General features: G+C 47.0%; 1 protein-coding gene across 14 annotated transcripts in view; it reads right to left on the bottom strand.

Moving 5' to 3' along the window:
• Positions 1 to 13,562, bottom strand: part of MYO18B (myosin XVIIIB) — a 321,660-nt gene that overhangs the window by 266,215 nt on the left and 41,883 nt on the right. For 13 of the 14 annotated variants that reach the window (XM_011530461.3, XM_011530458.3, XM_017029014.2 and 10 more), the window contains one exon: positions 12,142 to 12,205. In XM_011530461.3, the coding sequence (XP_011528763.1) occupies positions 12,142 to 12,205 (64 nt within the window). Of the gene's footprint in view, positions 1 to 12,141; positions 12,206 to 13,562 lie in introns of those variants that run through there. The other variant, XM_017029016.2, reaches the window with a different exon arrangement.

Below are 13,562 nucleotides of genomic sequence, written 5' to 3'. Positions count from 1 at the left end.
CTTTGAGGCCCTCTCAAGGTAGAACTGGAAAGAGACATAAAAGCAACTAAGTATGAAAAGGGCTAAGTGGTAGGTAGGCTATGGGTACAGGTTGATACATAGGCCATATAGGGTCTATAGGTAGGGCCTAGAGGTAGGCTCTGTAGGGTAAGTTGTGCTATAGGTCTATGCAGAGAATCATGGGACATCAGAGGAAGAAGGGGTAATTAATCCCACCCAAGACAGCCAAAGGGAATAGCATAGAGCAGATCAAATTGTGATAGCAGTTTGAAAGATAAATAGGCAGAGTTGGCCAATTTAATATAATAGAAGTCCCAACAGGCAAAGGGAACCACATGAGCAAAGGGGATTTGGGGAGACAATAGGTGGTCGACGGAAGCAGTTATTTTTGTTTTGTTTATTTTTGAGACAGAGTCTCGCTCTGTTGCCCAGGCTGGAGTGCAACGGCACAATCTCAGCTCACTGCAACCTCCGCGCCCCCGGGCTCAAGCGATTCTCTCACCTCAGCCTCCTGAGTAGCTGGGCTTACAGGCACCCGCCACCACACCCAGCTAATTTTCATAGTTTTAGTAGAGAAGGGTTTCACCACGTTGGCCAGGCTGGTCTTGAACTCCTGACCTCAAGTGATCTGCCCACCTCAGCCTCCCAAAGTGCTGGGATTACAGGCGTGAGCCACCACGCCGTCTGGAAGCAGTTATTTTTGGAGGTGGGTCAGATAGAGATGGGGAGAAGATAAAGCTGGAGAAGCCAGCATGGGCCACCCTTGAAGGCCTCAACCATGATACTAAAGGGCGTGGGCTTTAAACTCCAGTCATGATTGGTAAATACTGATACGTGCCCCCACGATATTCCTGAGCTCATAACAGACATCATTAATCAATCAAGATCCTACAGCAAGCCAGTGAGTCCAGATTCCTTTCAGGATACTGCTTCTTGTAGCCACCACCAACTGAGCTTTCCCACTAAAGGAAATGGCACTTGTTTTCTGTCTTCCGTGCAGCAATAGAAAACTGCTAATTTTTTTTTTTTTTTTTTTTTAGACAGGGTCTCACTCTACGGCCCAGACTGGAGTGTAGTGGTGTGATTATAGCCCACTGCAGTCTCAAACTCCTGGGCTCAAACGATCCTTCCACCTCAGCTTCCCAAGTGGCTGGGACTACAGGTGCACACTGCCATGCCCAGATGATTTTATTTTATTATTATCATTTTTTTTACAGATGGGGTCTCGCTATGTTGCCCAGGCTAGTCTTGAACTCCTGGACTCAAGCAATCCTCCCACCATGGCCTCTGAAAGTGCTGGGATTACAGGCGTGAGCCACTGCACCCAGCCTGCCAAAGATTTTAACAGAAGGAAACAGAAAATGACATGATCAGATGTTTATGGATTATAGGATTTTTTTTTAAGATTTATGATTCCAATTATGTTTGATTGAATATTAAAATTAGTCTGAAGCTACTATGCACACACCATCTGGCCAAGGACACTCAGCCCAGAAGCCTGCTGGGTGGAAAGGAAGTGAGCCGGGAATGGGAATTCTTTTGTCAATAATCCACCAGCCGATAATGAGAAACTGATTTGCACTTGGCCTGCTTAGAGAACTTGGGTGATGAACTGTAAGCTGTTAAAGCCAGCAAGTCTTTGAATTTTGCAGCAACCAGTGCCCAGAGAGCGGGTAACACTTGCTCAAGGTCACACAGCAAATTAGTATCAGATACAAGACTAGAAGCAGGCTTTTCTGATTCTTGAACTGATTCCCAGTCCAAGATACTTGTCCCCTCCACTCAAGCCACTTCCTCTAACTGGGAAACTTGCAAGAATCATCAACCAATTGGGACGACGTCAAAGCATACAGTGACATTAAGAGATTTGCTTGGGAAACATTTCAGTTAATAGCAAAAGCATGTTCCATTGATCCATCATATTTCTGGGCCGCCACAGGATCACAAAATCCCTAGCAACCAGGAGCTCAACCTAGCAACTGCAGCTGGAGCAAACAGAGGGACGGAAGGCATCTTAGCAACATACTCTGTTATTTATGAGATCTCAAAGTAGCAGAAAAAGGGCGCCAAAAGGACAGTGCCCACACATTTATTATGGCTCCCACTGTGGCCTATGAGCATTTGACTTTAAATTACAGAAGGATTCCACCATCTACCAGGTAGCTTGTGTGAAGAGAAGAATGAGAAAACTTCCACTAAAGCTCATTTGCTCCTTTCTCTTCCTTGTCCCCTCCCAATGTCTTTTTTCTGAACAGAAGACATGGATCAATAAATATATATGTTTCTGATTCAAAATGATTAGGATCATGAAAACAGTCATAGTTTCTTAAATTTCCAGAGAGCCAATTGTTCTTCAAACACCTCTGCAGAGTGCCCTGACAAAAGAAACTCTTTGGATCAAAATCATGAAAACAGAAAGAAGTCAAGTGAACAGAATAAGTCAACTGACAACCCAAATGTCTATCAGCAGGAGAATGGAGCCACAAAGAGTGGTATACCCAGAGCACAGCGATGGAGCACTACACAGCAATGAAAAAGAACAAGCCACTGAGACACGCAGCCACATATAGGCATCTCACAGACCCAGTGTGGAGTCAAAGAAGCCAGGCACAAAAGCCTGCATCCCATGTGCTTCTGTTTATGCAAAGTTCAAGAATGGGAGAAACTAACATGGTAAGAGAAGTTGAGACAATTAGTCTGGAGTGAGATGGGTACCTCTGATGGAGATTGCCTGGGAGGGGGCTCAAAGGAGCCTTTCATGGAAGGAGGAATGTTCTGTATCTTGATCTGGCAGATAGTTGCTGATGTGTGTTTAATAATATTAACATTGGCTGGGTGCAGTGGCTCACGCCTGTAATCCCAGCACTTTGGGAGGCCGAGATGGATGGATCATGAGGTCAGGAGATCGTGACCATCCTGGCTAACACGGTGAAACCCCATCTCTACTAAAAATACAAAAACTTAGCCGGGCGAAGTGGCGGGCACCTGTAGTCCCAGCTACTCGGGAGGCTGAGGCAGGAGAATGGCGTGAACCTGGGAGGCAGAGCTTGCAGTGAGACAAGATTGCACCACCTCACTCCAGCCTGGGTGACAGAGTGAGACTCCATCTCAAAAAAATAAATAAATAATAAACAATAATAATAACATGGCCAGCTGTGGTGGCTCATGCCTGTAATCCCAGCACTTTGGGAGGCTGAGGTGGGAGGAGTTGACTAGCCTGAGCAAGAGTGAGACCCTGTCTCTACAATAAAATTAAAAATCTGCCAGGCATGGTGGCATGAGCCTGTAGTCCCAGCTACTTAGGAAGCTGAGGCGGGACGATTGCTTGAGCCTACGAAATCAAGGTTGCAGTGAACCACGATCACACCACTGCACTCCAGCCTGGGTGAAAGAGAGAGAAAGGCCAGGTGCGGTGGCTCACACCTGTAATCCCAGCATTTTGGGAGGCTGAGGTGGGTGGATCACGAGGTCAGGAGATCGAGACCATCCTGGTTAACCAGTGAAACCCCGTCTCTACCAAAAATACAAAAAATTAGCCTGGCGTGGTGGCGGGTGCCCATAGTCCCAGCTACTCAGGAGGCTGAGGCGGGAGAATGGCGTGAACCCAGGAGGCGGAGTTTGCAGTGAGCCGAGATCGCGCCACAGCACTCCAGCCTGGGCGACAGAGCAAGACTCCGTCTCAAAAAAAAAAGAGAGAGACAAAGAATATGGGAGAGAGAATATAAACATCGAGTTGTACACTTAAAATTAGTATACGTTATACACTTTTATGTTTTACCTCAATTTTTAAAAATCAATGGATAAAATTCAAATTGTAAGATGCCCAGGGTTTGTCTGAGGTAAAGTCTCAAGGTCAATCAAAGTCTTCAGGTAATTTGGTAAAAGAAAATAAAATCCAAAATATTCTCTCTCCATTAAACCAGGCTGGGCTTAGAGCGCCCAGGAGATTCCTACAATCCAGAGAGAGGCCAGGTTTGGATTTGGAGTCAGAGCTGGACGCCCTCTAGACTCTGCACTCCCAACCATGTGACTTTGCAAAAGTCCCTTGCCCCGTGCATGGAGGCTCAGTTTGCACTTCTTCAAAGAAGAAATAAGGCCAGGTGTGGTGGCTCATGCCTGTCATCCTAGTGCTTTGAGAGGCCAGGGTGGAAGGATCGCTTATGTCTAGGAGTTCGAGACCAGCCTGGGCAACATAGCAAGACCTCTCGTATCTATAAAAAATATATAAAAATTATCCAGGCATGGTGATATGTCCTTGTAGCCCCAGCTACTTGGGAGGCTGAGCCAGGAGAATTACTTGAGCCAAGGAGTTCACGGCTGCAGTGAGCTATGATCCCACTACTGCACTCCATCCTGGATGACAGAATAAGACCCTGTCTCAAACAAAATACATAAATAAAATGGAAATCATATCTTAGCATCCTCCCAGGGCTGCTATGAGGACTAAATGAGTTTATGTGTGTAAAGCACCCAGCACAGAGGCCAGCACACAGTGGTACTCAATAAACGGTGGTTTCCACTTACTGCTGCCTCTCTCCTTCCATGCCTTCACCCAGGCTGTTCCACCTTCCAGAGACACCGTTCCCCATTGCTGCCCAAGTTGATGCCCCATACTCTATAACAAGTTAATCGGGTATGACCCTGCCCTCAAGGGGCTCCCAGTCCACTGAAGGGGACAGGTGTGCAAAGAGATGACACACAGAGCACACACCATGGGCTGGGAGACATTGGGCAGGGGTAAAGGAACTGAATGGAAGGATGTTTCTACAACCAACCTGCCCAAGGATTCCCACCCCTCTGCCTCCCGGAACGGGAGCTAACTTGGGGAGGAAAATGCTGGACACTGATTCAATGCATCTCACGCCTGTAATCCCAGCACTTTGGGAGGCCGAGGCAGAGAGATCACGAGGTCGAGATTGAAACCATCCTGGCAAAAATGGTGAAACCCCGTCTCTACTAAAAATAAAAAAATTAGCTGGGCATGGTGGCGCGCACCTATAGTCCCAGCTCCTAGGGAGGCTAAGGCAGGCGAATGGCTTGAACCCAGGAGGTGGAGGTTGCAGTGAGCCGAGACCGCGCCATTGCACTCCAGCCTGGGCACAGAGCCAGACTCTGTCTCAAAAAAAAAAAAAAAAGAAAAGAAAAAAAAAAGAAACATCACATAGGTGCCCGCACAGGCCAGTGAACCTCATGGAGACTGCAGGGAGGGCAGGACAGGTGTCAGTCCACAGCCAGGAGCTGCCCTACCCGTCGCTCAGCATCTCACCAATCCACTTCTTATCTCAGCATCAAGAGTCCATTTAAGTGGAGAGGAGAGAAAGTGTTCACTGAGCACGTATTCTGTTGTACTGGGTGCTTTTTCCCCACGAGGCAGGCATAGGTCTCTCCAACCAACAGAGGAGGCAATGGAGACTCAGAGAGGTGAAGTTACTTGCCCAAGGCCACCCATTTGGGGAAGGGCACGGTCAGTAAGTGTCACTGAGCCCCCAATCCTTGGTGTCATCCAAGGGTGTTGCTTTACCCATCCCACAGGTGAAAAACTGAGGCTGGGAGAAGTGACCCAAGAGTGAACGTGGACCAGACCTTAGAGCACATTGTCTTCAGCCACGATCTGAATCGTGATCTGAGATGACAGTGGGAAGAACGAAAGTACCAAATTTAAAGTCAGGCCAACCTGGATCCCAGTCCCGACTCCACCACTTAAAAGCTGTGTGCCTTTGGGCAAGTAGCTTCACCTCTCTGAGCCTGGCTACTTCTTCTGAAAAACAGATATGATCATAATTCCTTATTTAAAGAACCGTTGGGAGAATTAAGTAAAAGCAAGCTCCTGGCAGAGCCCCTGGCACGAGTGAGTGATCCCTCATCCTTCCATTTGGGCACCATTCCCTAACAGTTGACAACTGGGTCATAAAAAATAAATGTGCCTCGGGCCAAGGCCTGGAATGTGACAGCCAGAAGCAAACTGCTGGGTGGCAAGGATTATTATTATTATTACCACTGCTGCTGGGCACATTTAAAAAAAAAATTAGGCTAGGTTGCAAAAAAGAAATTATAGAGAAGACGAAAATAATATGAAAGCTTTGTGATTTCAGATGTATCCTGGTGCTTGGCAGATCTCAAGTAAGTTCCATTTACAAGCTGCAATGTGGCAGGCAGCAAGGGCACAGTGTGAGGACTAAGAGGAGAAACTGGCAGTCACCGGGTACACACAGCCTCTGAGGACCCGGCCAGCGCCACACTGGGGATCTCCACACTTTTACCCTGGGGTCCTTGCTTTGGCTGGCCATTCATGTTTACCTTTGCATCAGGTGCTCAGTGTAGCCAGAACACTGGCCTCCCTGCACCTGTCTAATTCATTCTCAGTCCAGCTCCAGCTCATGGTTGCCTCCGCCAGGCAGCTCTCCCTGATATGCCTCTCCTCCTCCCAGCTTGGCCTCAGCCTACATACACCTCCACTCAGGCACATATCTCTCCAGCTTGGAATGATCTGTTGATGTAGACATGGCAGCCCATCACCACCTCCCAAAAGTGAGTCACTTGATGGGTGAGACCCAGTTGAGTTATTTCTGTGTGCCAATACCTGGCATCTAATAAGATCAATAAATATCCATTGACAATGAGCTTCTAGCGACCATCCCCAAATAAGAGCCACTGATGGTGGGGTTGAGTGAGTTCACCCACTGAGCTGGGTCCACAGTACTACTCAGCCCAGATTTGAGGACCCCAGGCTGCCCACAATGACTGAGGGATGGGACCCCCAGGCTTTCTAATCCCCTTCTCTGGGTCCTCAGAGATTCCCAGCAACTGCCCCAGCTCCCAGGACCCAAGGAGTGGGTCCAAAGGCAGACATGAGATCCCCAAAGACCTAGTGAAATGATACTGGGGAGAAAATAAAGTTTAATTAACCGATCTCTGCTGACCACAGTAGCAAACGATTCGAAAATTGAAAAGATGTGATTTTAGTTAAGTGGTGGTGAGTTGGGCATGCTCGTTCATTTATTTACTCAACATACCTTTACTGAGCACTTGCTGTATGCCTGGCTGAGTGCTAGGCCTTGTCTATTCAGGAGTGATCAAGACAAGTAAGACTCCCACCCTCATGGAACTTAGGGCCGAGGGGAGACAAATCATAAACAAACAGTGTGATCAGAGATGGGAGACTGTTAGCAAGGAGACAACAGGAAAGACGATAACTGGAGACATCTCCTTAGACGGAGGTTTGGGAGTCGGAGATGGTAATACAAGCCAGACGCCCACCTTATCACTAAGAACCACAAAAAGGTTTAAAACCATGTAAATGTATGTAACTAACCTGCGCGTTGTGCACATGTACCCTAAAACTTAAAGTATAATTAAAAAATAAAAATAAATAAAACCATGTAAATGGACATTAGGGAAACAGCAGTTCGGTGAACCACGTCCCCTCCATGAATGTCTGGTCATTAAAAATAATATTTGTGAAAGTTTGTTGTTTTTTTTTGAGACGGAGTCTCACGCTGTCGCCCAGGCTGGAGTGCAGTGGCGCAATCTCGGCTCACTGCAACCTCCGCCTCCTGGATTCAGGCGATTCTCCTGCCTCAGCCTCCTGAGTAGCTGAGATTACAGGCACCCGCCACCACGTCCGGCTAATTTTTGTATTTTTAGTAGAGACAGGGTTTCACCATAATGGTCTGCCTGGTCTCAAACTCCTGACCTCAGGTGATCCGCCTGCCTTGGCCTCCCAAAGTGCTGGGATTACAGGCATGAGCCACCATGCCCGGCCAGAAAGTTTTAATGATATACAGTTTGTTATGAATTATGTAAAATATTTGCAGGAAAAATACTGGAAGAACACCTGCAGGTATAGGACCAGTGGGTTTCTCAGGGTGGTGAGGTGAATGGCGCTTGTTTTCTGGTTTGCTCGAGTGTGTGTGTGTATTCTGGTTTTTGGTTTTGCCCTTGTGTTTTTTCTGATTTCTCCATAGGAAGTATGTAGTAATTTCGTTATTTTTTTTTTCTTGAGACAGTCTCGCTCTGTCACTTAGGCTGGGGTGCAGTGGTGTGATCTCAGCTCACTGCAGCCTCTGCCTCCCAGGTCCCAGTGATTCTCCTGCCTCAGCCTCCCAAGTAGATGGGATTACAGGCACGTGCCACCACACCTGGCTAATTTTTGTATTTTTAGTAGAGATGGGGTTTCACCATGTTGGCCAGGCTGGTCTCGAACTCCTGACCTCAGGTGATCCGCCCGCCTCAGCCTCCCAACGTGCTGGGATTACAGGTGTGAGCCACTGAGCCCAGCCATAATTTAGTTTTTTGTTTTTTTTTTAAACAGATGCTTCATTAAAAATATGAATTAGAAGAGAATAGAGATAAATTCAGTAAGAGGGAAAACAAGACGTGCTGCCAAGGAACATGGAATGGGAACTGAGTGGCTAGGTAGCGTGTCTTGCTGTTGGGGAGCAGGCTAAGCCCTCCCAACTTGCCCAATGCTGCCATCCTTGATGATGGAGGAGGAGGAGGAGGAGGAAGAGGAGGAGGAGGAGGAGGAGGAGGAAGAAGAAGGAGGAGGAAGAAGAAGGAGGAGGAGGAGGAGAAAGAGAAGAAAAAGAAAGAAGGAAGAAAGAAGAAGAAGAAGGGCTGACATTGGAAGTGTCAGGCACTGCCGAAGTACTTCATTGGCTTTATCTCATTTCATTTGAGGTCAAGGTGGACTCTTGCTCTCCTAGTTTTCGAAAAGGAAAAAATCGAGGCCCAAGGAGATGAGGTCACTTGCTTAAGGCCACCCAGCTTAACCGCTGGTACTGGGATTCGAACATCACTACGTCAGACTCCACTGTCGCCAGTGAGTTTTCAGTGGAGATGGAACCAGCTGTTACAGATGAAACAGAAGCAGAATTAATCATAGTACGGGGGCTGGCTAGGAGGAGAAGGAAGGAGGAGGGCTCAGCCAGGGATGAAGTTGGGTTGAAGTTGGGTTGTAGAGTTGCCAAAGAAAATGCAAGCCATCCAGTCAAATCTGAATTTCAGATAAACAATGGATAATTTTTTTCATAAATATGTCCCCCACAATATTTGGTACAGCAAGAATGCTGGCCTCACTGCATCTGACTACTTTCACTCTCACTCCAGGACCAGCTTGTGGTCCACTCCTCCAGGCAGCCTGCCCTGATAGGCTCCCAACCCTTCAGGCTTCCCTGTGCAATATTTGGGACATGCTTATACTAAAACATTATTCAATGTTTATCTGAAATTCACATTTAACTGGGCATCCTGTATGATTTGCTAAGCCTGACAGCCTTGGGGACTTAGCAACTCCCATTATTGGGGGACATATCCTGATCACCAGATTCCCTTAATGAAGCTGTACCTGGCCTGCCCGACCCCAGTAACTAGCCCAGGCTTGTATCAAAGACCAATGAATTTTCAGACTTTATTTTTCTTCTGAAAGAACAGAGAAAACATTCTCTTGATACCTGCCAGGTAGCAGAGAGAGAACAAAGAAACACCCTACCAGTTCCTGCAAATCAATTGGTCTAAAAAATGCCCCACAGAAATAAAGAGGAAAAAAAGCAAACCACTTCAAATGCTTCTTTGACACAAATTCACGCTGTGACCAATGGCTTTATGCAGACTGTTAACAAACAGGTCAGGTTGGGGGAAAGCTCAGAGGACCCCAGCTTGGGTCCTTTTCCTTCTCAAAAACAGTAGGAAAATAAACAACTACTCTTCTGCTGATTCATACGGATATTTTGGGCCAAAGCTCATTAAATGAATGAGAAAAATCAGTGCTGAGGTAATTTCTCATCTCTTGCCTTCAAGGTGGAGGTCTGGGCTCCTCATGACCCCAGATCACGGGGTAAAGGGTATGAAAAAAGAACACACTGCTGAGTCCCCCAAGTAAAGAAGCTGCCCCCCTAGTATTTGGTTTAGCAAGAATGCCAGCCTCGTTGCATCTGTTCATTTCATTCTCATTCCAGCTTGTTTCATGCATGAGTTTTGAGAATGAAAGAAATTTCATTCTCATTCTCATGGCCAGCTCTTGGTCACCTCTTCCAAGCAGCCTCTCTGATATGCCCCCAACTCTCCAGGCTTGCCCATACAATATTTGGGACATACTTATAAGGTGACAAGTAGATTAGCCCCCAGAGTTCAAAGACGGGGCAGACACATCACCTCACCCAGTGCAGAAACAGACTCTACAACAGTGGTTCTCAAAGCGGGGTCCCTGGACCAGCAGCATCAGCATTGCTGTGAACTTGTGAGAAAGGCACATTCTCAGGCCTCACCCAGAGCTACTGAATTAGAAACTCTGCAGATAATACTCAGCACTGTGTAAGACAGACTGTGTGTGTGTGTGTGTGTGTGTGTGTGTGTGTGTGTGCGCGCGCCTGCACGCACACAGGCTTAGCAATTTTTTTTTCTTTTTTCTTTTTTTTTCTGAGACAGAGTCTCGCTCTGTCTCCCACGCTGGAGTGCAGTGGCACAATCTCTGCTCATTGCAACCTCCACCTCCTGGATTCAAGCAATTCTCCTGACTCAGCCTCCCAAGCAGCTGGAACTACAGGCATGTGCCACCACGCTCAGCTAATTTTTAGTATTTTTAGTAGAGATGGGGTTTCACCATGTTGGCCAGGCTGGTCTCAAACTCCTCACCTCAGGTGATCTGCCCACCTCGGCCTCCCAAAGTGCTGGGATTACAGGCGTGAGCCACCGCACTGGCTGAATTTCTTTAATGACCAATGATGTTGAGCATATTTTCATGTGCTTAGTTGCCATCCATTTACATTTTTTTTGTATGTTCCATATTTTGCCCATCTTTTTTGTTGGGTTGAGTTTTGAGAATTACTTTTATATTCTAGATAAAAATCCTTTATCAGATAAGTGATTTGCAAATATTTTCTCCCAGTCGGTGGCTTGCTTCTTCATACTAATAGTGACTTTAAGAGAGCAGATGCTGTTCCTTTTGATAAAGTTAATTTGTTCTCTTATGGACTGGGATTTTGATGTCTCATTTAAGAAATCTTTGCCCAGCTCAGGGTTACAGAGATTTTTCTCACCTTTCTTCTAGAAATTTTGTGGTTTGAAGTTTTGCAATTAGATCTGTGACTCATTTTTTGTTAATTTTAGTATATCATGTGAAATATGGATTTTTTTTTTTTTTGCACCAGGATATCCAATTATTCCAGCACTATTTGTTTCCCAGACATGTATATTTGAAAAGAGGCTTTGGAGTGGAAATTATCTACTTCCCTCCATCTGGTGAACTCCTATTCATCCTTCAAAACCCAGGCCAAATGTTCCCTTGGCTAAGAAGTCTTCCCTGGCAAAGTCCAAGTAGCTCTATCAGCTATCTTGTGGTGCCCGCAGCATTTCATGCAACCTCTGACATATTCTTATCTCACATGATTGCATTAATTTCCAAGTCTGTGTCTCCTGCTAAAGTGAAAATCCATGGATGAGGATCATACTCCTAGCACTCAGCAGGAACATACACCTAACACAACACAGGCCCAGCATAGGTGGTGATGAAGGTATTTGCGAGAGAAGGGAGAAAACAATGGTTAAAATAATTGAATAATAAAATATCAAACCAGTGAACCATTTGCTTTTTTAAGCAATGAAATACCTAACTCTCAGCCCCACTCATAGACTATATTCATCAGGAAACCATCGCTGAGTGCCCCTACCCAAGTTAACCACCACTAGTACTGACAAAGAGCACCCTATTGATTGATTTAGGCCAAGCCCTGTTCTAAGCACGTTATACACATCATGTCATTTCACCCTCACAACAACCCTATGAGGCAGATACTGCTACTATCATTACTGTACTGAAGAAGAGACAGACCTACCAGGAGGTTAAGGTCCATGCCTGAGGTTCACCTACGTAACAAGTGTCAGAGCTGGGGCTTGAACTAGACTGATTCCAGGGCCCTAATCCTACCTCTACGTATACTATGTCTGGTTTCCTTTATTTGTCTGAGTCTTCTTTACCCAATAAGCCGAGACCCTACAAAGGCAGTGCCAACTCTTCCACATGACCAACCCTTGCCAACTATGAACCCCAGTACCAAAAGAGACAAGTTGCACGGCGACTCATCACCCTCCCATCTAGCCCCAGACACAGACTCACATCCCACCCGTGAGGGACCTCCTCCTTACCTTGGACCACACGCCCATGCCAAAGGAGCTGCTATCTGCCATCTGGTGCAGGTTCAGCTCCGTCCTGGAAGCACAGAAGGAACCAGGAGTCAGGGGGGCTGTCCACACCAGCCCTGGCAGGGCAGGTGGTCGTCACAGTGTGAGGCTCCACACAACTGCCCGGACACCCCAGGGGCTGTCCCTGTCCCTGGCCTTGGCCCCACTAACTCTGCCCTGGGATATCTTCAATCTCCCAAATATTCCTCACGCACAGCCCTCACTTGGCCCTTCCTAAAGGCCAGGAAATCCCAGGAGAAAGGGTTGTAGAGGAAAATCAGGAGAGCAGGGACTAACCCCAGATCTTCTAATCAGCTGAGCGACCTCACTCAAGGATAATATTAAAACAGTCAACATGAACGAGCCCTTACTGCATGCTAAGTCCTAAGATGACTCATGACAGCCCCACTCCATGGGTACAAATATTATTTCCATTTTACAGTTGACAAAACAGAGGCACTGAGAGTGGGTACCTGCCCCAAGACTTCACAGCTAGCAAGCATGCAACCAGAAGCTGAGCTGAGGTCTGTTGGCCCCTCGAGCCCAGACTCCGCGCTATCCTGCCACGTGCACCTCTCCCGGCCTCAGTCTGCACTTTATGAAGCAACACAATGTTTAAGGCTCCTTCCCGTGTTCAACCTGCAGGTTCCTCGAGAGTGAGACCAGCAGATGGGCCACCCACTTTTGCAGGCTTGAGGAATGCAAGCCAAAGGCGGGGTGGGCACAGCTATGCCCCCTGCCCCTTCGAATCACACTCTCTACTCACAAAAGCATTGTAGAGCCCAGCCTAGGATCCCCAATCCCACGTTGGTTCAAATTGGTTCCTGGAAAGTGGGGATTACTCATCAGTCTCCAGCCAGCTTGTCTGGTTCTGAGGCCTTCAGTGTCCTCTCCCTGGATTCTCTACAGACCCCACACCCCTCTCTGCCTCGTGACTTTGAAGGAGTCTTACCAGCTAGGCTTCAAGTCCAACCCCAGTGCTGCCATGTGGCAGACAAGGTAATTCTCTTCTCTGCAACTCACTTTTTCTTATCTGTAAAATGGGCCCCCTACTCTACTTGCCTCCCAGGATTAAATGAGATATTATACATAAACTCACACTGCCAGGCTGGCATGGAGTAAGTGCTCTGTTTTCCTCACACTCTCTTCCATTCACTGGAAATTAAATCTGACAAATAATTAAGAAGCATCTACCTGGTGCCAAGCCCTGGGCTAGGTACTGGGAAAGCAGAAAGAACAATGACAGGGCCCCAATTCAAAGATCTCCCAGTCCATCTGGTGAGGAAGGGAGACTGCGCTGGCAGGTTTTTGAACCAGAAGCACATACCAGGCACCAAAACAGTATAAAGGAGAAACTGAGGAGCAAGAATCAGGCAGTGCTCCTC

This window comes from Homo sapiens, chromosome 22 (genome assembly GCF_000001405.40).
Source record: "Homo sapiens chromosome 22, GRCh38.p14 Primary Assembly".
NCBI lineage: Eukaryota > Metazoa > Chordata > Mammalia > Primates > Hominidae > Homo > Homo sapiens.
Note: the sequence above shows the minus strand (reverse complement) of the source record. Positions and strands in the feature narration are given on the sequence as shown.